Source organism: Homo sapiens, chromosome 7 (assembly GCF_000001405.40).
Source record: "Homo sapiens chromosome 7, GRCh38.p14 Primary Assembly".
NCBI lineage: Eukaryota > Metazoa > Chordata > Mammalia > Primates > Hominidae > Homo > Homo sapiens.
This window is the reverse complement of record NC_000007.14, coordinates 135,505,140-135,527,615: the sequence shown is the minus strand read 5'-3', so window position 1 is coordinate 135,527,615 and position 22,476 is coordinate 135,505,140. Positions and strand designations below refer to the sequence as shown.

At 42.6% G+C, this 22,476-nt stretch overlaps 1 protein-coding gene across 16 annotated transcripts in view, besides 7 other annotated features; it reads left to right on the top strand.

The window, feature by feature from the left end:
- Nucleotides 16,634–17,538: an enhancer, noted in NCBI's record as "H3K27ac hESC enhancer chr7:135194826-135195730 (GRCh37/hg19 assembly coordinates)". NCBI's record gives its function as "activates a minimal SCP1, AML or CMV promoter by ChIP-STARR-seq in naive H9 embryonic stem cells {active_cell/tissue: H9 hESC(naive)}" and the evidence as "EXISTENCE:reporter gene assay evidence [ECO:0000049][PMID:30033119]".
- Nucleotides 16,634–17,568: a biological region, named in NCBI's record as "H3K27ac hESC enhancer GRCh37_chr7:135194826-135195730".
- Nucleotides 16,819–16,988: an enhancer, noted in NCBI's record as "active region_26717". NCBI's record gives its function as "activates an Ori minimal core promoter by ATAC-STARR-seq in GM12878 lymphoblastoid cells {active_cell/tissue: GM12878}" and the evidence as "EXISTENCE:reporter gene assay evidence [ECO:0000049][PMID:35858748]".
- Nucleotides 17,139–17,258: an enhancer, noted in NCBI's record as "active region_26716". NCBI's record gives its function as "activates an Ori minimal core promoter by ATAC-STARR-seq in GM12878 lymphoblastoid cells {active_cell/tissue: GM12878}" and the evidence as "EXISTENCE:reporter gene assay evidence [ECO:0000049][PMID:35858748]".
- Nucleotides 17,329–17,568: a silencer, noted in NCBI's record as "silent region_18679". NCBI's record gives its function as "represses an Ori minimal core promoter by ATAC-STARR-seq in GM12878 lymphoblastoid cells {active_cell/tissue: GM12878}" and the evidence as "EXISTENCE:reporter gene assay evidence [ECO:0000049][PMID:35858748]".
- Nucleotides 17,514–22,476, top strand: part of CNOT4 (CCR4-NOT transcription complex subunit 4) — a 148,308-nt gene continuing 143,345 nt past the window's right edge. For 10 of the 16 annotated variants that reach the window (NM_001393373.1, NM_001393371.1, NM_001393375.1 and 7 more), the window contains exon 1: nt 17,514–17,727. The gene's annotated coding sequence lies outside the window, so the exon portion shown is untranslated. Of the gene's footprint in view, nt 17,728–18,458; nt 18,546–22,476 lie in introns of those variants that run through there. The other 6 variants (XM_047420412.1, XM_047420413.1, XM_047420415.1 and 3 more) reach the window with 2 other exon arrangements.
- Nucleotides 17,539–18,444: an enhancer, noted in NCBI's record as "H3K27ac hESC enhancer chr7:135193920-135194825 (GRCh37/hg19 assembly coordinates)". NCBI's record gives its function as "activates a minimal SCP1, AML or CMV promoter by ChIP-STARR-seq in primed H9 embryonic stem cells {active_cell/tissue: H9 hESC(primed)}" and the evidence as "EXISTENCE:reporter gene assay evidence [ECO:0000049][PMID:30033119]".
- Nucleotides 17,569–17,768: an enhancer, noted in NCBI's record as "active region_26715". NCBI's record gives its function as "activates an Ori minimal core promoter by ATAC-STARR-seq in GM12878 lymphoblastoid cells {active_cell/tissue: GM12878}" and the evidence as "EXISTENCE:reporter gene assay evidence [ECO:0000049][PMID:35858748]".

Here is a 22,476-nt window from a genome sequence, read left to right as displayed (position 1 = left end):
TACCCTCTCCTTCTACTCTTTTTGTTCATTTCTGGAGTACTGTGAGTGGCACAATCACCAATCACAGCAGCCTTAAACTCCTAGGCTCAAGCGATCCTCCTATCTTAGCCTCCCTCGTAGCTGCTGGGACTACAAGCACACGCCACCACACCCAAGTGATTTTTAAAAATTTTTATAGAGGCTGGGTCTTGCTTTATTGCCCAGGCTGGTCTTGAACTCCTGCAATCCTCAAGCAATCCTCCCACCTTGGCCTCCCAAAGTGTTAGGATTACAGGTCTGAGCCACTGAGCATGGGACCTCTCCCTACTCTTTAATGCCATCTGCATTCGTGGTCTTTCTCCCTCATCCACTTGCCCATACTGTGATTTTGCTATCCAAGCCAACTCCTGTCACATGACTTCTCAGTTCCTTGACCTCCTCACCTGAATGGTCATTTTCTTCATTCCACCTGAGCCACTCCTCCCAAAGTCACACCCGAACGGTTATGACTAGAAACTGCTGTGGACCCAAAGATGTGTGAGTTAACTGTGGTCCCCAAGGCAAGTTTTCTTTTTCCTTTTTTTTTTTGTTGGGATGGGGTCTTGCTAGGTCACTCAGGCTGGAGCACAGTGGTGCAATCACAGCTCACTACAGCCTTGATCTTCTGGGCTCAAGGGATCCTCCCACCTCAGCCTCCTGCGTAGCTGGCACTACTATACTTGGCTAATTTTTAAATTTTATTTTTAGAGACAGGGTCTTGCTATGTTGTCCAGGCTGGTCTTCAATTCCTGGGCTCAAGCGATCCTCCCACCTTGGCCTCTCAAAGTGCTGAGATTACAGACATGAGCTGGCCTCATGCCTTGCTGGCCACACCTGGCCAGCAAGTTTTCTTGAAGGGACATCCGTGTAGCAAAACTTCATGACTGTCACTGTCCACCTCTTACACTGCACAGATCCACTTTCCCATATGTGTTTAGGGAACAACTCCTCCCAATTTCCTGTGGGCCTCTCTTCCTGAAGGTAAACTTAGAAGATGGGGGTTAGTGGAAAGAAATACAGTCCCTATTAGGGGATGCATATGGTCACGGAGCTGCAACAGGTTTTCTCTCTTTCCTTCACTATCCATTCTAAACTCCTCTTATCCACAGCCCTCACCTTGGCTGGTCTTAGAGGCTCTCCAGAAGGTGTAATTAAAACCTTAATTACAGAGGCATTTGAGTGCTTTATAACTATCACCTCTTCAGGCCAGGACTGCTGCATGTGCCCACTCTCAATTAAAATTGGGCAAGGAAGCATCAAGATGATGCCCAAGTGTTCCACATGTATACTCCCATGCCCCTTGTGTAAAAGTAGCCCACATCCCCCTGATGATCAGGTCAATTATCCCTGCTGAGATGGTAACTCTTCTTTTTTTTTTTTTTTTGAGACTGAGTCTTGCTCTGTCACCCAGGCTGGAGTGCAGTGGTGTGATCTTGGCTCACTGCAACCTCCACCTCCCAGGTTCCAGCGATTCTCCTGCCTCAGCTCCCTGAGTAGCTGGGACTACAGGTGCGCACCACCACACCCAGATAATTTTCTTTTTTTCGTATTTTTTAATAGAGGCGGGGTTTCACCGTATTGGTCAGGCTGGTCTCAAACTACTGACCTCGTGATCTGCCCGCCTCAGTCTCCCAAAGTGCTGGGATTATAGGCATGAGCCACCGTGCCTGGCCTTTTTTTTTTTTTTTTTTTGAGATGGAGTTTTGTTCTTGTAGCCTAGGCTGGAGTGCAGTGGTGCCATCTGGGCTCACTGCAATGTCCGCCTCCCGGGTTCAAACGATTCTCCTGCCTCAGCCTCCTAAGTAGCTGGGATTACAGATGTCCACCACCATGTCTGGCTAATTTTTGTATTATAGAGAGATGGGGTTTCACCATTTTTGCCAGGCTGATCTGGTCTTGAACTCCTGACCTCAAGTGATCTGCCCGCCTCGGCCTCCCAAAGTTCTGGGATTACAGGCGTGAACCACTGTGGCTGCACTGATATGGTAACTCTTCTTATCTGTTGGTCCCTGGTCATAAGGGGTTCAAAGTGCACAGGTGGCAGCAGTAGCTTATAGTTCAATGGTACCCTTGCTATTTCCTCTGGCAAGCAAGTGGCCTTTTTGGGTACTAGGACCTATAACCCTCTAGAGCCCAGCATCACAGAAGCACAAAATCCCCAGTAGGTCATTGGGAGTGAGGGAAATGGGGCCGCTCCTGCTTTCACCCTCATTTCCTGGACCCACATATTTTTAGTGAGGACACTATGCCACATCGACTCTGATTTAATATTTATACTGCATCTGGAAGGATGGCATCCTACTCTTATGGTGTACTGTCTCTAAGCTGGTGCTTAAGCTGTGCCTTCAGTGGTTTTTCCAGTGCTTTATGTAGCTGAATGGTGTGGTAGATTCAAAGATGAAGCATCTGGGATTATCTGTCAACTGTGCTCTCTGCAGCAGGTTCTCTTTGAGGGACATACGAGTGGTGCACCTCCATGGCTAACATGATATTCAAACTGTTAACTCTGAATTCATACACAGGGAAAACATCTTTCAAAAATTATGTCAAAGTAAAGCCTTTTTCAAGCTAACAAAAGCTGAGAGAATTGACAGAAGACCTGCATTACAAGAAATTTTTTTTTAAATTTACATTTGAGCTTTTTTTTTTTTTTTTTTTTTGAGACAGAGTCCCACTCTGTCGCCCCAGGCTGGAGTGCAGTGGCATGATCTCGGCTCACTGCAAGCTCCGCCTCCCAGGTTCACACCATTCTCCTGCCTCAGTCTCCCGAGTAGCTGGGACTACAGGTGCCCGCCACCACGCCCCACTAATTTTTTTGTATTTTTAGTAGAGACGGGTTTCACCACGTTAGCCAGGATGGTCTCAATCTCCTGACCTCGTGATCCACCCGCCTCGGCCTCCCAAAGTGCTGGGATTACAGGCGTGAGCCACCACGCCCAGCCACATTTGAGCTTTTTAAGAGATAGAGTCTCATTCTGTCTCCCTGGCTGGAGTGCAGTGGTGCAATCATAACTCAAACTCCTGGCCTCAAGCAATTCTCTCCTGCCTCAGTCTCTTGAGTAGGGATTACAGGTATGAGCCACCACACCTGGCTAATTTGTAATCTGCACCTGGCAAATTACAAGAAATATGGAAGTTATTTGAGCTGAAGTATGATACCTAACATTTATATATCCATATAAACAAATAAGAGCTAAACGTACGAAGATAACACAAAGGTAACTGTAAAATACATGTTTTTTCTTATTTTAAAGAGATAATCAGGCCAGGTATGGCGGCTCACGCCTATAATCCCAGCACTTTGGGAGGCCGAGGTGGGTGGATCACAAGGTCAGGAGTTGGAGACCAGCCTGGCCAACATAGTGAAACCCCGTCTCTGCTAAAAAATACAAAAAATCAGCCAGGCACGGTGGCGGGTGCCTGTAATCCCAGCTACTCGGGAGGCTGAGGCAGGAGAATTGCTTGAACCCGGGAGGCAGAGATTGCAGTGAGCCGAGATTGTGCCATTGCACTCCAGCCCGGGCAATAGTGTGAGACTGTCTAAAAAAAAAGAGATAATTGATGTCTAAAGCAAAATAGTAACAATATATTGGAGCTTTATAACTTGTGTAAAAGTAAAATATATGACAAAAATAGTATGAAGATGGGAAAGAAGGAATTTAAAATACGTTGTTGTAAGATTATTATATGTGAAAAGGTACAATATTATTTGAAGGTAGGCTGTGATGTATTAAAAATGTATTAAAGATGTAAACTCTAGGGCACCCACTAAAATTTTTTTTTTTTTTTGAGATAGGGTCTTGCTCTGTCACCTAGGCTGGAGTGCAGTGGTGAGAACATGGCTCACTACAGATTCTACCTTCTGGGCTCAAGTGATCCTCCTGCCTCAGTCTCTTAGTCTCTTGAGTGGCTGGGACTGCAAGTGTGTGCCACCAAGCTTGGCTATGGTTTTTATTTTTTTTAGAGCTAGGGTCTCGCCATGTTGCCCAGGCTGATCTCAAATTCCTGGGCTCAAGTGATCCTCCCACCTTGGCCTCCAAAGGTGCTAGGATTACAGGTGTGAGCCACCATGCCTGACCTAAAATAATTTTAAAAGAGCTATAACTAATAAGCCAATAGTGGAGATAAAATAGAATAAAATATACCCAATACAAAAGAAAGTAGGAAAAAAGGACCAAAAAAGCATGAGACAAATAGAAAACAACTAGCAATATGGTAGATTTAAATCCAACCATATTAATAATTATATTAAGTGTAAATGGTTCAAACAGCTCAATTAAAAGATAGTGATCAGGCTGAGTGTGGTGGCTCGAACCTGTAATCCTAGTATATTAGGAAGCTAAGGCAGGAGGATCACTTGAGCTCAGGAGTTTGAGACCAGCCTGGAAAACATAGCAGGACCTTGTCCCTATACAAACTTTTTAAAAATTAGAAAATAACAAAATAAAAGACAGTCACCATCAGATTGGATTAAGTTAGACTCAATATATGCCGACTATAGTAAGCACTGCTGCCCCTTCAGTCTGGGCCCCAGAATGAACACACATAGCTTTCTTTCCTTTCTTTTACCTTTTTGGGAATCACTGGGCATCTTGAATCAATGAATTGAGGTCCCTCATCAGTTCTGGGAAATTCACAGCCATTATCTCCAAATACTGCCTTAACTCCATTTTCTCTCTCTTCTCTTCAGGGATACTAATTATACTAGACCATTTCTTTGTATCATATATATCTCTTCTCTATTTTGTATTTTACTTCATTTTATCTCTATGAGTTTTACTACGAATAAATCTTCTACCATCTAGTTCACTAATTTTCTTTTCAGCTCTGCATAATCATCTGTTAAAGCCATACACTGAGTTCCTTTTTTTATATTTTTTTAGATGGAATTTTGCTCAATCACCCAGGCTGGAGTGCAGTGGTGCAATCTCGGCTGACTACAACTTCTGCCTCCTGATTCAAGTGATTTTACTGCCTCAGCCTCCTGAGTAGCTGGGATTACAGGTGCCTGCCACGACGCCGAGCTAATTTTTGTATTTTTAGTAGAGCTGGAGTTTTACCATGTTGGCCAGGCGAGTCTCAAACTCCTGACCTCAAGTGATCCACCTACTTGGCCTCCCAAAGTGCTGAGATTACAGACTTCAGCCACCACGCCCAGCCTCAGTTCTTAATTTTGGTGATTACCTTTATCAGTTTTAAACTTCTAGTTGGATCCTTTTTAACTCTGTAATGTCACTTTTAATAGTTTCTAGTTCCTTGCAGAGATTTTTAAAGTTAATCTTTTGTTTACACTAAAAGAGAAAATGTAATTGTTTTACAACTTTTCTCTAGTAATTCTAATATTTAGTGTCTCTGTGGATTTTGCTTTCTGTTGTGTTTTTGTTTGTTTTGTTAGGCCTGATTTGCACTGTCTTGACTTCAGGTATATTCCATAATTTATTGCTTCTTGGACTTTTTTTTTTTTTTTTTTTTGAGACAGGGTGGGGTACAGTGGAACAATCACAGTTCACTGTAGCCTCAACCTCCTGGGCTCAGGTGATCCTCCCACCTTAGCCTTCCAGGTAACTGGGACTACAGGTGCACGCCACTATGCCTGGCTAATTTTTGTATTTTTCTTTCTTTTTTTTTTTTGAGACAGAGTCTCTCTCTCTCACCCAGGCTGGAGTGCAGTGGCGCAATCTCGGCTCCCTGCAACCTCTGCCGCCCGGGTTCAAGCGATTATTCTGCCTCAGCCTCCCGAGTAGCTGGGGTTAGCCACCGCGCCTGGCTAATTTTTGTAGTTTTTTTTTTAGTAGAGACGGGGTTTCACCATCTTGGCCAGGCTGGTTTTGAACTCCTGACATCGTGATCCATCCGCCTTGGCCTCCCAAAGTGCTGGAATTACAGGCTTGAGCCACCGTACCCAGCCCAATTTTTGTATTTTTCTTAAAGAGACAGGGTTTCACGATGTTGCCTAGACTGATCTTGAACTCCTGGGCTCAAGTGGTTTTCTTGCCTTGGCCTCCCAAAGTGCTGGGATTAAAGGCATGAGCCACTGTGCCCAGCTGACATTTTATTTTAAAAATTTCTTTCAGGTATACTTTAAAAGCTAGGATAATATAGGCTTCCTCCAGGGCATTTTTGTTTCCTTCTACCAAGAACCCGATGGTGCTAGTAGTCCAAGGCAATGCTGCAATGCCAGTTACCAAGATTACTCTCCAAAGTTGAGTTTCTATCCTTCCTTTTTATTTTTTTGTTTTTGAATTTCCTGCATTGCCTGAGGACCTACCCTTACTTTCTTTTTTCTTTTTTTAGAGACAGGGTCTCACTCTGTCACCCAGGCATGATCATAGCTCACTGCAGCTTTGAACTTCTGGACAATCAATGATCCTCCTGCCTCAGCCTCCTGAGCAGCTGGGACTATAGGTGTGCCAGGGTGCTCAGCTAAAATCTTTTTTTTTTTTTTTTGAGACAGGGCCTCTCTATGTTGCCCAGGCTGGTCTGGAACTCCTGAGCTCCAGTGATCCACCTGCCTTGGCCTCCCAAAGTGCTGGGATTACAGGCATGAGTCACTGCGCCCAGCCCCCTTACTTTCTTAAGTAGGGCATTTCAGGGTCCCAGTCAAGGGCAGAGAGCCCCCACCTTCAGCATGTGTTGACCTCCAACTCCTGTTCCTCTAGCCTCAGGTTCCATGAAGCTACTCATTTTCAGCTGCTCCCCTTAGACTAGCAAATGGCCCCTGGGTAAAAGCAGTAGTATATTTAAAGATAATATTTAACAAGGAGGGAGATCTTTATCTTTGGCTGCCAGAGGATTCTTTACCTTCGGCAATTGGCAGAAGGCAGCCTTGTCTCTCAGATGCCTTTTTTGGATGACCAAATGCCCCTTGAATGGAAATAGCTTCAATTCACTTACTTAAGCTCCAACTTTTTCTCATTTCAAGGTTGACTATATTTTTATGTCTTTTTTTTTTCTTTCTTTCTTTCTTTTTTTGAGATGGTATCTTGCACTGGCATCCAGGCTGGAGTGCAGTGGCCCGATCTCAGCTCACTGCAAGCTCCACCTCCTGGGTTCATGCCATTCTCCGGCCTCAGCCTCCCGATTAGCTGGGACTATAGGCGCCCGCCACCATGCCAGGCTAAATTTTTGTACTTTTAGTAGAGATGGGGGTTTCACCGTGTTAGCCAGGATGGTCTCGATCTCCTGACCTCGTGATCCGCCCGCCTCGGCCTCCCAAAGTGCTGGGATTACAGGCCTGAGCCACCGCGCCTGGCTATTTTTATGTCTTTTATGCTTTTTAGCAAATGCTTCTGGTATTTATCAAATCTCTTGTTAGTTATCTTTAATGAAAGGATAAAGGACTTATCTTTAATGACCTTCAAGAGCCAGAAAGTGAAGACAAATCTGGATGGTACTGGAAATTCATTCGTTTCTTTTTCATTACTGTGGTACATTAATTAGTGTTCAGTAAATATTCACTCATTTCTCTCACCCTCCAGGAGAGGACTCTATTTCCCAATTATTATAATGTTGAACTTGGCCAGGTAACATGCCTTGACTACTGAAATGTTACCAAATGTGGTGTAAAGAGAGGCTTAAAATATGTTTGCAAGGCTGGGCGCGGTGGCTCATGCCTGTAATTCCAGCACTTTTGGGAGACCAAGGCAGGTGGATGGCTTGAGCTCAGGAGTTTGAGACCAGCCCGGCCAGTATGGTGAAACCCCATCTCTACTAAAAATACAAAAATTAGCCAGACATAGTGGCAAGTGCCTGTAGTCCCAGCTACTTCAGAGGCCGAGGCAGGAGAATCGCTTGAACCCGGGAGGCAGAGGTTGCAGTGAGCCGAGATCATGCCACTGCACTCCAGCCTGTGCGGCAGAGCGAAACTCCATCTCAGGAAAAAAAAAAAAAAAAAAAGTTTGCATATTTGGGCTTGCCTTTCTGCACCTCTGCCATTGCCATGAGAAGAGCTTTCCTCAGGAAGCTGCTGCCTCTTGACCTTGGGCCCCAGAATGAACAGAGATGAAAGCAATCCTGAGCCTAACCCACAGAGAGGAGCCAATCCCAGCTGGACTTACAGCTTGAAGCAGAGTTGCTGAGATGAACCTAGCTTAGATCCATTGACCCTCAGCTGACCTGCAGTTGGAGAAAATAACTGACTATGCTTTAAGCCATTATATCTTGGGGGTAGTTATTACACAGCACTTTTGTGGCAATAGCTAATCAGACAAGTAGCCTAGCAAGAACCTGCTTCAGCAGGTCTGAGAAAAGGAATATTATCAGAATCTGAACTCCAGGAGCTGCTCCTTTCTAACAAGGTTATTCCCAACCAGGAAGTTCTCATTGTTATATAATTGCCTACTCCCTATTTCCCATTCTCAGTAAGTAGGTAAAACATCACAGGAGTGCAGTCTATCACCTGGAATCGCCCCTTTTTTGGGAGGGGAGTATACCTAGCCTATTTATGGAAGTTGTGTCTCTGTGGGATAATAGGGAATAATGCTTTGCTGCATCTCTGCCAGTATTTTTTCCCCACTAAATCTTATTTTACATTTACACTATGCAGCATTTGTGGTGTGTGTTCTTCTGCCCCCTTCGCATAATAAGAGAGAAGTTTGGTCAGAATCACCTTGCATGCTCTTTATTACTGGAAGCCACAAATCCCAATGACTCTGTAAACACTCCTTACCAAGTTTTAACAAGTCTTACTATTTAGTCATGTGCATTTTTCATATGGTTTTGTATTCTTGTGGCTGATATATAGGAATACTGCTGGTTTTTGTATGTTTATATTATGAACTGAATTGCTTTTAGTTTTTGTTATTTATTCATATATTTTCCATACTGACAATCATTATAACTGAATATAGTGAGTTTTTTCTTTCTTTCTAGTTTATATATGTCTTATTTCTTTTTTATGTCTTTTTGCATTGGCTAGCCCCTCTAGTATGATGTTAAATAGTAATCATGATAGTAGTGAGTATCCTTGTCATGTTTTAAAGCAAATGCTTTTAAAATTCTGCTATGAAGTGGCTGGATGTGTTGGCTCACATCTGTAATTCCAGCACTTAGACAGGCCGAGGTGGGCGGATCACTTGAGGTCAGGAGTTCGAGAGCAGCCTGGCCAACATGGTGAAACCCCTTCTTTACTAAAAATACTAAAATTAGCTGGGTGTGGTGGCATGCGCCTGTAATTCCAGCTACTCAGGAGGCTGAGGCACAAGAATCGCTTGAACGTAGGAGGCAGAGCAGAGGCTGCAGTGAGCCGAGATCGCACCACTGCACTCCAACCTGGGTGACACAGCGAGACCCTGTCTCTAAATAAATAAATACATACATTCATAAATAAATCAAACAATTCTATTAAGTGTTATGCCTGGCTAATTTTTTTTTTTTTTTTTGAGATGGAGTCTCGCTCTGTCACCCAGGCTGGAGTGCAGTGGCGTGGTCTCAGCTCACTGCCAGGGTTCACGCCATTCTCCTGCCTCAGCCTCCCAAGTAGCTGGGACTACAGGTGTCCGCCACCATGCCCATGCCTGGCTAATTTTTTATAATTTTTGTAGAGATGGGGTTTCATCATGTTGCCCAGGCTGGTCTCGAACTCCTGAGCTCAACTGATCCACCTGCCTCGGCCTCCCAAAGTGCTGGGATTCTAGGCGTGATCCATCATGCCCAGCCTTGGATTTTGTCTTTATCTTATATTTTAATATTTTGTTCATCATGGATTTTTTGCATTAACTTTGACTTTTTAAAATGTTTTATCTAAACATTATTGACCTTAATTACTGAGTTTTTAAATGTTTGCTTAAATTTTATACCCTAGGGCCAGGCACGGTAGCTCATGCCTGAAATCCCAGAACTTTGGGAGGCTGAGGAGGGAGGACTGCTTGAGGCCAGGAGTCTGAGACCAGCCTGGGCAACATAGTGAGACCTCATCTCTATAAAACATAAAAAACTTAGTCGGGCATGGTGGTGCTGCATGCCTGCAGTTGGGAGGCTGTGGTGGGAGGATTCCTTGAGCCCAGGAGTTCAAGATCTTAGTTACAGCGTGCTATGATCATGCTACCGCACTCCAGCCTAGGCAAGACCCTGTCTCTAAATAATAATAATAAAAAATAAAATAAATAAAAATTTTTAAAATGTTGTGCCCAAGGCAAACGCTGCCTTACTCCCCTAACCTAGTCCCAGCCCTGCCCTGGTCCAAGCCATGCATTATCTCCAGGCTGCACTTCTGCAGTAGTGTCCTCACTGGTCTCTCCACTTCTCCATTCACCGCCTATCTCTGATCTACTTGCCACATGACAGCCCCAGTGGTCTTTTGAAAAGATAAATTGAGTCGTGTCACTCTCCAGCTTCAAATCATTCAATTGTCTCTTATCCAAACTTCATGTAAAGCCCTGCATAATCTGGATTTTACTTCCTTCCTTAACCTCATCTCCTACCACTCTGCCTTTGTGTTCTCTGACCCAACTTCACAGGCTAACTTTCCATTCCTGGAATATGCTCAACTTCTTCCTGCTTCGGGTCTTGGCATAGGCCATTCATTAAATGGATAATCTCTTCAAATCCTTTTAATCTCAGATTAAGTCATCTCTTCAGAGAGGCTTTCCAATCTAAAGTAAATCCCTTCCTGATATTTCTCTTATCATTCTGTTCTTTGTCCTTCCTAATACTTTGACAGTATAAGTAATTTGCTTATTATTTTACTTGTGGTCTGTCTCTCCTTTTCAACCCTAAGATCTCTGAGTTTAGTGTTTTGTTTACCACCATATACCCAATATTTAACACTCAAATACTAAGTAAGTGATTAAAACTAACTAAATAACAGAAAAAAACCCACAAAATTAATGGGTTTTTGGAAAAAAAAAAAAAAGTCCCACGAATAAAGTGGCTTTAGAATGCATTAATATTAAAGCAATCTAGCCATAACAAGGGTCATGAAACTGATCATTTCCTTTGGCCTAGTACAGGGGTGTCCAATCTTTTGGCTTCCCTGGGCCACATTAGAAGAAGAATAATTGTCTTGGGACACACATAACATATACTAACACAAAGGATAGCTGAAACAAAAATATCACAAAAAAAAATCTCATAATGTTTTAAGAAAGTTTATGAATTTGTGTGGGGCCACATTCAAAGCTATCCTGGACCCCATGTGGCCTGTGGGCTGCAGGTTGGACAAGCTTGGCCTAGCAAGTCTATATTTGAGAATATATCCCAAGAATGTAACTTGAAAATGATGTTATTTATTTAAAATATCTAGCTGGGTGTGGTGGTTCATGCCTGCAGTTCTAGCGACTCTGGAGGCTGAGGCAGAAGGATCACTTAAGGCAAGGAGTTTGAGAACAGCCTGGATAGTATAGTGAGACTCCCACCTCCAAGACAAAAAATCTAGGTCAGATGCAGTGGCTCATGACTGTAATTACACCACTTTGAGAGGCAGAAGTGGGTGCATCACTTGGGCCAGGGGTTTGAGAACAGCCTGGGCATCATGGGGAAACCCTGTCTCTACCAAAAAATACAAAAATTAGCCAGATGTGGTGGTGTGCACCTGTAGTCCCACCTACTCAGGAGGCTGAGGCGGGAGGATTGCTTGAGCCCAGGAGGTAGAGGTTGCAGTGAGCTGAGATTGTACTATATTGCATTCCAGCCTGTGTGACACAGTGAGACGCTGTCTCAAAAAAAATTAAAATTAAAATCTATATATTAATAATTTTAAAAGGCTTAAAAAATGGGAAACAATCTATAATTCTGGTTGCCCCTTAACCCTCTCTTGTTTTTATTGTCCTCCTCCAGCCTAGATAAACCCAACTGTACGTAGTTTCTTTGGCAGAAACCAAGCAAATAAACATTATTAAGAAAAATCACTAAGTTGGGGAAGACATAATCACTATGATTTTTAAATTCACGAGTCTCAAATGAGAAGCCATTATTTCCCTGAAATCCTGCTGTTTTTCTGATAAAGTTGCTCTGCTTTCTACAGATGCTATTTCAATATTCGCCATTCTCCTTTTACTAAAGGAGCCACTATCTACAAGGCCATTGAAGCCCGAAAATCTGAGAGTCATTGATGAGAACTTCATGTGCAGTACATCACCAAGTCCTATTATTTCAACTCCAAAAAAATATATCTTGAATTCATCACCTTTTTTTCCCCCTATCTTTACTGCTACCACCACATTCAGAACTACCATCTGGATGACTGAAATATTCTCTTCATTAGTTGTTCCATTTTCATTTTTGCCTTTCTCCAATCCATTCTCCACAAAGCTGAGTGATCTATTTTTTAAAAATGTATAAAACGAATTCATATGCAAAAAAACCAATGAAGCAATTTATAAAGAAAATGTTTTTTTTCTTTTTTAAAAATCAACTTCCTCAGGTTGAAGAAAAGCTTTTGTTTTTGCTTTTTCCATTTTGTTTTGAGACAGGGTCTCTGTTGCCCACGATCACAGCTCACTGCAGAATTGCTGGGTCGACCTCCTAGGCTCAAAGGATCCTCCCACCTCAGCCTCCCAAGTAGCTGGGACTACAGCCATGGGCCACTAAGCCTGGTTAATTTATAAAGCAAATATTATGCTTTCCCTCTATGCCTATCTAATTACAATCCTCCCAGGTAACCAACACACACTAAATGTTTGATGTGTAATGAATCCTTCTATTCTTTTTTCTGTGATTATATAGAAATCTATTTGTATTATTTTGCACTGGTTCTTTTCATTTCTAAAAAATGTATTACATTACACAATATATTACGTTATAATGTATTTATTTATTCTTTACCTGATAAACATATCATGGGCATTCCTCCAGGTCAATATGTCATTCTTTCCCTTTCTTTTTTTCATATAGCCACGTAATATTCCAGAAAATGGAAGCACTGAAATTAAATTTATAACTTTCCCATTGATGGACATTGGGTGGCATTGTCTTTTCAAGAAGTCAGTCAGATCATGACTCTTTCCTCCATAGGCTTTCCTTTTCCTGTGATATAAGAGCTGTGTTTCCTATCTACAAGGGCCTGGATAATCTGGCCCTTGCCTTTCTTTATATTTATTTATTTATTTATTTTTGAGACAGAGTCTCACTCTGTTGCCCAGGCTGGAGTGCAGGGGCGTGTTCTCGACTACTGCAACCTCCACCTTCTGGGCTTAAGCGATTCTTGTGCCTCAGCCTTCCAAGCAGCGGGGACTACAGGCGTGCACCACCATGTCTGGCTAATTTTTTTTTTTTATTTGAGACAGAGTCTTGCTCTGTTGCCCAGGCTAGAGTGCAATGGCACAATCTCAGCTCACTGCAAGCTCCGCCTCCTGGGTTCATGCCATTCTCCTGCCTCAGCCTCCCTAGTAGCTGGGACTACAGGCGCCCACCACCATGTCTGGCTAATTTTTTATGTTTTTTTTTTTAGTAGAGATGGGGTTTCACCGTATTAGCCAGGATGGTCTCGATCTCCTGACCTCGTGATCCGCCCACCTTGGCCTCCCAAAATGCTGGGATTACAGGCGTGAGCCACTGTGCCCAGCAATTTTTGTATTTTTAGTAGATACCAGCTTTCACCATGTTGGCCAGGCTGGTCTTGAACTCCTGACCTCAAACAATCCACCCACCTTGGCCTCCCAAAGTGTTGGGATTACAGGCATGAGCCACTATGCCCGGCCTGGCCCTTGCCTTTCTCTAAATTCACCTCATGCCACCCTTCCCCTTACTCACCATAGTCCATATACACCTTCTGGTGAGGCTTTTTTTGTTTTGTTTTTGTTTTTGTTTTGAGATGAGGTCTCACTCTGTCACCCAGGCTGGAGTGCAGTGGCACAATCTTGGCTCACTGCAGCCCCAACCTCCCAGGCTCAAGCGATCCTCCCACCTCAGCCCCCCTGAGTAGTTGGGACAATAGATGTGTGCCACCACGCCCGGCTTATTTTTTGTATTTTTGGTGGGTTTTGGCAGGTTGCCTAGGCTGGTTTTGGCAGGTTTGGCAGGTTGCCTAGGCTGGTCTCGAACTCCTCGGCTCAAGTCAGCTTGCCTCTGCCTCCCAAAGTGCTGGGATTACAGGCATGAGTCACCATGCCTGGCCATGGTGAGGTTTGTTTGTTTTTTGAGACAGAGTTTCGGTCTTGTTGTCCAGGCTGGAGTGCAGTGGCGTGATCTTGGCTCACTGCAACCTCCACCTCCTGGGTTCAAGCAATTCTCCTGCCTCAGCTTCCTGAGTAGCTGGGATTACAGGCACCTGCCACCACACTTGGCTAATTTTTTTGGTATTTTTAGTAGAGACGGGGTTTCACCATGTTGGCCAGGTTGGTCTTGAACCCCTGACCTCAGGTGATCCACCCGCCTTGGCCTCCCAGAGTGCTGGGATTACAGGTGTGAGCTATCGTGCCCAGCCTGTGGTGAGTGTTTTTTTTAACCACCTCCTGTCTCTGCATATTCTCCACTCTCAACCTGGTAAAGACTACCCTCCTCTCCCCACCAATCTAAATTAGGCTCCCCTCTTAAACTTTCTCATAACATCCTTTATACATCTTCTTAGTACTCATGACCAATTGTAATCATATATATGAAATTCTGTTTATATGCTTGTAGTTATTTATTTATATGATTATTTAATCTCTGCTTTTTCTACTAGGCATTATGCTCTATGAGGACAGGGACCATGTTTTGCTGACCATTGTTTTGCTATACCACCAGCATTGAGCACAATGCCTAAAGGCAAAATAGATTTGTTAAGTGAATAGATAGGTTCCACACTTAGGAATCATTAGGTAAGCAAAGTAATACAACTGAATGTTTTTTGTTTTGTTTTGTTTTGTTTTGAGACAGAGTCTCACTCTGTTGCCCAGGCTGGAGGACAATGACATGATCATGGCTTACTGCGGCCTCAACTTCCAAGCCCAAGTGATCCTCCCACCTGAGCCTCCCAAGTAGCTGGAACCACAGGCAGGCACCACCATACCCAGCTGTTTTTCAAATTTTATCTTTGTAGAGACAGAGTCTCCCTAGGTTGCCCAGGCTAGCCTTGAACTTCTAGCCTCAAACAGTTCTCCCGCCCCAGCCTCCCAAAGTCCTAGGATTACAGGCATGAGTCACCACACCTGGCCAAATTTAATGTTAACTTTTAAAATTATATGAGAATGAAGTGTTACATACATAAGTCTATATGATAGTATATATATACACATATGCATACATAAACATATGAAAACTGGCAATGTAGTATAGTAAAAGGAGTACTGGCCTGAGATGGTAGTGACTCTTACAATTGGTGACCTAGGAACTGTCACCTCCTTACTGTCAGTCTCAATACAGGGGTGGCATTGCCCCCTAGTGTTGGATATTTTATTTATAAGTGCTAGCAAACCATGACTTGACTGTATTTCTAGAATGGTCATGCTGAGCATTTATATATTGAAATACAATTTTATTATAAAATATTTTCTTCATATCATTTATATTATAAATAGCACATCATTTTGATTTCAGATGAAATCATGTATATAGGTAGTTTATATACCTATGAATTTCATTTTAGGCTAACAAAGAGCATATTATAAAAACATTTATTAAAAAAAGGAATGTTGGGTAAGATAAGGTTGCCACTGGATTAGGTGATGCTTAAGATCCCTTCCAGTTTTTACTGTGATGATTCTAATCTTTCATAATGGGAAGGCTTCTTTTTATTTTGTTCTTTTCATTACTTTGTTTATATACTACTATAGAATCAGTAATATATACAAGAACAATAAACACATTTTTAAATAAAAATGTCAACCATATTGAATGTTTAGGCATTTAATTACCTAAAGGGAAATCCAAATAATTTCCCAAGTTTCCTTGCTAGGTAATCATTTCATGATTCTATAATTTCAAACTTTGGGTAAAATGTGACTTCACTACATATTTTAATTTTTACCCAAGTAACTGTTGTCTCTAGGTTTATAGTGAGGAAACTGAAACACAGAAAACCAATGTACCAAAAGAATGAGGCCGGGTGCCCTGGCTCACGTCTGTAATCCCAGTACTTTGGGAGGCCGAGGCAGGCAGATTACCTGAGGTCAGGAGTTCGAGACCAGGCTGACCAACATGGTGAAACCCTGTCTCTACTAAAAATATAAAAATTAGCCTGGCGTGGTGGCACGTGCCTGTAATCCCAGCTACTCGGGAGGCTGAGGCAGGAGAATCACTTGAATCCGGCAGGCGGAGGTCGCAGTGAGCCGAGATCGCGCCACTGCACTCCAGCCTGGGTGACAGAGCTAGACTCCGTCTCAAAAAAAAAAAAAAAGAAAAAACAATGAATTGAGGGCTTATTATGAAATTAAGTTCGTAAATTTAAAACTGCAACCTCTTTCCCTACTCCCCTTCCCTGCTTTAAGTTTTTAAAATCGGTTATGACATACTATGCATTTTAATCACGTATTTTTAAAATAATGCCTCTTCTCTCCTCTTCCTCATCCCAACACATCACTAGAATAGGGACAGGGAATTTTTTCTATTTTGCTCACCATTGTATTCTCAATATATAGAAGAGTACCCGGCAGCTAGGAGGAGCTCATTGAGTATTTGCTGTATGAGTGGGTGAAGAATACATGCAATAAGCAAAAGTTACTGCTTCGAGCGCCACTTCCACCAGAGTTCTGGGATGCAAACGGGGCGACCAGTACATTGACTGACTTTTGTGACTGATGATTCCTCAGTGCTCGTAGGGATTGTGGCTGCATTTATTGTTCTTGGGGATGTGCCGATGTGTGTAGTTTGTAAACTTGCACACAGCTGTGCTGGCTGGACACCGAACTAACACTAATTTGCACCGAGGTCCGCAAATTCTCAAATTCACACCAACAGAAGCACGTTATTGTAAGTGCACGGGTGTTCCGTTCTCTTGGGTAATCTGCACAGAACAATTTAGTGTATGTCTTCACTGGTGATTTTACAGTGAAGAAGGGATCAAGGGTGGTGGCCCCAAATGCGCAAGGACAGGGAAATGAATTAAACAGGCGCCTGTTTCCTCCTTGTTCGCAAACAGACGCCAAGTCTGTATCAAATTCTCACCCTGGATCAAATCCCGCGCTCTTCGTACCCACAACCTGCCTCCACCTCCACCCCGCCCCCTTTAGATATCCCTGGTGGGCGGGGCAGAGAATAAACATTCCGGGCTCCCCGAAAAACTGTTTAGCCTCGCCCCAGTCTTGGGGTAGCACATTTCCGCAAACACCGAGGACACGGAATCACTAGTGAAAACCGCCGACCAAATGACATTGAAGCAGCACACGCGTGCAGAGAAGGAAGCAAAACACGAAGAAAGGCATCAGTCCAGCAGCCACGTGAGGTGGGCGATCCCCTCCGCCCTCTGAGAGAGGACTTCAACTCCCGGCGTGCCCCTGGGAGGTTACCCTCCGAGGACTTCAACTCCCAGGGTGCTGCGGGAGCGGCCACCGCAACCTCCCACTCAGCCGCCCGCCGCTCCTCCCGCCCCTCCCCCGCCCCTCCTGGCCGGATCAGCGTGCGCCTGCGCACGGGAGGCCGGAGGAGTCTTACCCTAATGTAAGATGGTGGCCCGTCTGGCTGTGGAACCCACCGAAAGCTGAGAGTCTCTCTCTCAGCCGTAAAGGTCGGACTCGCTGAAGCAATCAGGCCCGGTTCTGAAGAGTTTTTTCCCCGACGCTCGTTCGGTGGTTTCTTGTGAGGACGCGGCAGCCCGTGGAGTCGGCTGAGGGAAAAGCGAGGCAAGGCAGGCGGGTGAGTCTATGCGGGGCTGGGCTTAGGGGAAACCCGGGGCTGACCGGCTACGAGAGAGCGGAGGCTTCGCTGGGACTGTACAGGCCGCACCCCCCTTTCTCCCCACCCCCCGCCTCATCTTCACCCTCCTCCTCCTTGGTCTTCTTCCTCCTCCTCCTCTTCCTCCCTCTCCCCTTTACGCCACAGCAGTTACCATAAGGAAAAGGGAGCGGGTCAGAAGGCAGCGCGGCGGCAAGCAGCGACTCTCCTTCGAGAATTTCTTTAATTGGGGAGCCGAGGCGGCTTTTGGTCTCCAGCTTTTCCCCCTGCATTTTCACCGGGGCAGGATTCTTAGGTCTCAGCCCTCCTTGTTTCCCCAATCCCCTGTTCCCTGTCTGACGTCCTTTCCCTCTGGCCCCCGTCTCCCAAGACCAAAGCCATCACTTCCACTCTGATCCGTGTTGGCTGCTGCTGCTCATTAATCCCACTGCTCATTGCCCACTCGTCCTGCTGCTTGTTTTTTTGCTCCACTGCTACCACTCTGGAGTTAGCCTTTGCCCCCCTCTGGTGCTTGCAATCAGCCCACAGTGTATCTGCCACACTAGAGCTGCTTCCGATTTGCAGTCTTTCCTTCCACCACATCTGTCATCTTAAAGCTGCCCCTTAAGTATCTAGATTATGCTCCTCCTGCTAACCCACCTGTTTCTCAGCCTTCTTGAGAATTGTCCGTTCCTTCCCTCTTTCCTGTACAGATCCTTTCAATATACACTTCCAGAAAAAGGGAAGCCCCGTGGTGGCCCTTGAAAAGTAAAAGGAAGTTGGGAAGTGAATGAAGTGAGGTAGGATACTATTAAACGTTATGAGTGAAGATCTTTTATTCAGGCTACTCCGGAGAGGACCGTTTTCGTTTTGCTTTCTGTGATCTATTTGTCGCTTATTCGCTCTGTTGTGTTAGGACTTGGCTTTTTTTCTTTTTTTTCGTTTTGGACCGGTTTTATCATGCTACTAAGCGTTCTTTGGATTGCCTCTCCCCAGGACACTTAGTGTGGGCCCTGATTTATACCAATAAATATTAACCCCAGCATTACAAAATAAGATAAATCTGGCGCACATACAGAATTCATCTGTGAACTCCGCTAGCAAATATAAGTGATATTTTGATTACATGTGGGTTATGTGTGGGTTCTGTATTGAGGCTTGATTTTTGACTGAGTTTTATTGATGTTCAGCTTAATTGATGACATTTTATTTATGATTTGAGTGGAAATTTCCTCTCCAGTTAATATCAGATTTTCTTCTTATTTTTGGATTTGGGAAGTTCTCTTGACATTTCTAGGATGATAGTTATCAGAATAAATTGTCTTGTCTTGAAAATCCATTAGTTATGTATGCAAAAGAAAAATCGACATTTTTATATAAACCTAAGTTCCTCGTATTTTTCTCATAGAAAAGAAGGGGGCTGGGAAAAGAATGACAAAGCTGTGCACATACATGCATTTGGTGGAACTCACTGTCATTGTTATCTACAGTAAAAAGCAGAAAACTGGAAGCAAGAGGTGGCTTATGATGTCCATGTTTTGGTGAAAGCAAAATTAAGATGTACTGACTAATGGTAAAATGGGAAGAAGCAGCCCTGGCTATAATCAGACCACTGTGAGATAAAGAATTACCAGAAAAGCAACCAAGATTACATAGTTCAAATACATACATCCCAAGTTTAAACATGACTTACATGACATTGTATTCTTAAGATATATGTAAAAATGTTTAAAATCAGTGACAGTCTCATGTGGCAGTCCATTACTGGGTTATTGTAATTTTTACAAATTTTACCTGTAAAATTTGGAATCTTAACATTTGGCATTATGTTCACTTGATTGTGATAAATGGTCTGTTTTACCAAATGTAAACTAAGGTTAGAAAAGCTGTTTATAAAACTTTTTTCTTTCAGCCACTTAAGCCCCAATTTGGGGGACCAAATAAATACCTACTCTTAGAACTGCAAGCAATTTATATAGCAAACTTTGTGCTAAGTTACAAGTTGAGTTTTGGGTTTTTTTTAATCACTTACATTTAGTTTATCAGTAGGAGTGTATTTAATAGTTGATCTTTAACTCTAAAAAATATACTTTTTGTTGTAATACACTGGTGGAGAAGCTTTCCACTTTTAAAAATCCTAACACAGGTTTAGAAACTCTTGGCAGTCATACTTGGCTGAATTGTAAGCAGTGAGTTCTAGGAGAGGATTGTTTGTCTGGTAGAAGGGAGTAAGTGATTTTAATACATCTTTTTTTTTAAAAAAAGGTATTTGTCTCACGAAATATTTTCTCAAGTAATTCTTTCCCCTCCATAATTTTTGCCCGCAGTTACTGAATTCTTCATTTCAGCCCTCTGAAGTCAAAAGGAATTTACTTTTGTATCTTTAGTACGTTTAAAGAAGATATCTAAAGTTCTTTAACATTTTGATAGGAAATAGGGAGCTGAGATTTCTAAATAGTTTTGCTTGGTTTTAGTTTTTTGATCTAACGTTATGAACACTGAAGCTTCATATTTTCATGGTTTCTTTTGATAATTTGGAATACTTTCTGCCAGGTTGAGTAGTTGAATTCTTGAGATCAATAGATTATTTCTGTAAGAAGGTTTTGAACATGAATCGCTTAAAGTTGGCCTATTATAAAATTAGGATGAGACAGTTATAATCAAATGACAAAGTGCAGAAAAATAAAATTGTTTTTGTAATGCCCTTCAACTTGAGTCTAAATGGGAGTACTAGCGATAACTTGCAACTCATTTGTTAAAGAAAGGGTGTTGCCAGTGGATGAACTCCTAGCTTTAGGGGAGTCTTATTTTAAAAATGATTTTGTGTGCTTTAAAGGAATGAAAAAATATCTTATCAGTTTAAGCAGTTTGGATTTAGAAATCTTCCCTTTTTTCACCTCCCTAATCTTGGCTTTAAAAGGAATCCATATTCTTCAGTTTAATAAATTTATCTTTTTGTTGTTTTGTATGAGAAAAATATTAAATTTTCTTTTCTTTCTTTTTCTTTTCTTTTCTTTTTTTTTTTGAGACAGTCTCGCTCTGTCACTCAGGCTGGAGTGCAGTGGTGCGATCTTGGCTCACTGCAACCTCTGCCTCCCAGGTTCAAGCGATTCTCCTGCCTCAGTCTCTTGAGTAGCTGGGATTACAGGCGTGTGCCACCATGCCCGGCTAAGTTTTGTATTTTTAGTGGAGACGGGGTTTCACCATGTTGGTCAGGCTGGTCTTGAACTCCTGACCTCGTGATCCGCCCACCTTGGCCTCCCAAAGGGTTGGGATTACAGACGTGAGCCACCATGCCAGGCCTAAAATTAAATTTTCTAATGTGACTGCAAATAGTACTCAATTAAATATGTTTAAACTTAGTGTTATTATTTTTATAGATCATTTAAGTAAAATGGTTTTAATTTGTGAAAACTTCAGCCTCTGGTGAAAATTCAGTTAGTTAGCTCTCTTACAGTAACTATAATACTGTCTTGACTCTTTGTGAAGGAAGTTACATTCAGCTCATTTGGTTCTGAAGAAAACAGTAGGGAAATAGGTTATAGAGATTTTTGCTGTTCTAGAAACAGTATAACTAGAATGTACTACATAATTTTCTCAAAGGATTTCTTAATCTAAATGGAACTTGTAAATGGTTTTTATCCCACTGGAATAGCATGTATTGGATAAAACTTGTTTAACACATTCTGAGATTTTATAATATTTTATGTTACCTCAAAGATATTAGGAAAAATCTGCAAATATCCATTCCTGAATAAAAGATGACAATATCCTCAATATTTTAAAGATTGTAGTATATACATATTTTCCTCAAAAGTTGAGAGTACTCAAATTTAAAAGCTAGCATAATTTACCCAGTTATTTTTGTGATGCAAGGAAAGAAGATATGTGGGACTTTTTAATCATGCATTTATTGGTTTTCTAAAAGAACTTCACAATTGTTTTTAATCTTGTTATGTGGACTTCTTTATTAGAAAAGATTATGTGGTAAATGTCAACTTTTTCTACTATAATAGAATCTAACTGGTTCTGTGACACATTTCTTTTTTATGATACGATTCTTTATTATTTAATTACAAAGTTTATAAAAAATTTCACCACTATTTTGTCTCCTTAGATTTTAGTACTTAGATTTTAGCAGCATATTTTTCTTTTTATCAGAAAAGAGAAATTATAAGCTACTAAAAAGAAGATGATTACTTTTACTTGGTAGGAAAACCTAACTTTAAGGATGGTATAACACAGTTTGAGTATGAGTTTATTTTTCATCTTAACAGGTTTATTTGTGAGTATGGCTTTTTTTCTCCCCGCTACTCCCCAAGACGGAGTCTCGCTCTGTCACCCAGGCTGGAGTGTAGCTGCACGATCTCGGCTCACTGAAGCCTCTGCTTCCCAGGTTCAAGCAATCCTCCTGCCTCAGCCTCCCGAGTAGCTGGGATTACAGATGTCCGCCACCACACTCAGCTAATTTTTGTATTTTTAGTAGAGATGGGGTTTCACCATGTTGACCAGCTGTTCTCGAACTGCTGACCTCGTGATCTGCCCGCCTTAGCCTCCCAAAGTGCTGGGATTACAGGTGTGAGCCACTGTGCCCGGCCTCAAGTACGGCTTCTTTATTATTAAACTCTGTTTATACAGGAGAGTTGTCCTGTTTTAAGCTTTAATTGCTTTGGGTGATGGGCAGATGATGTATTGCTATTAGGATAAGTCTTGCTATTTGTATAGGTGTGT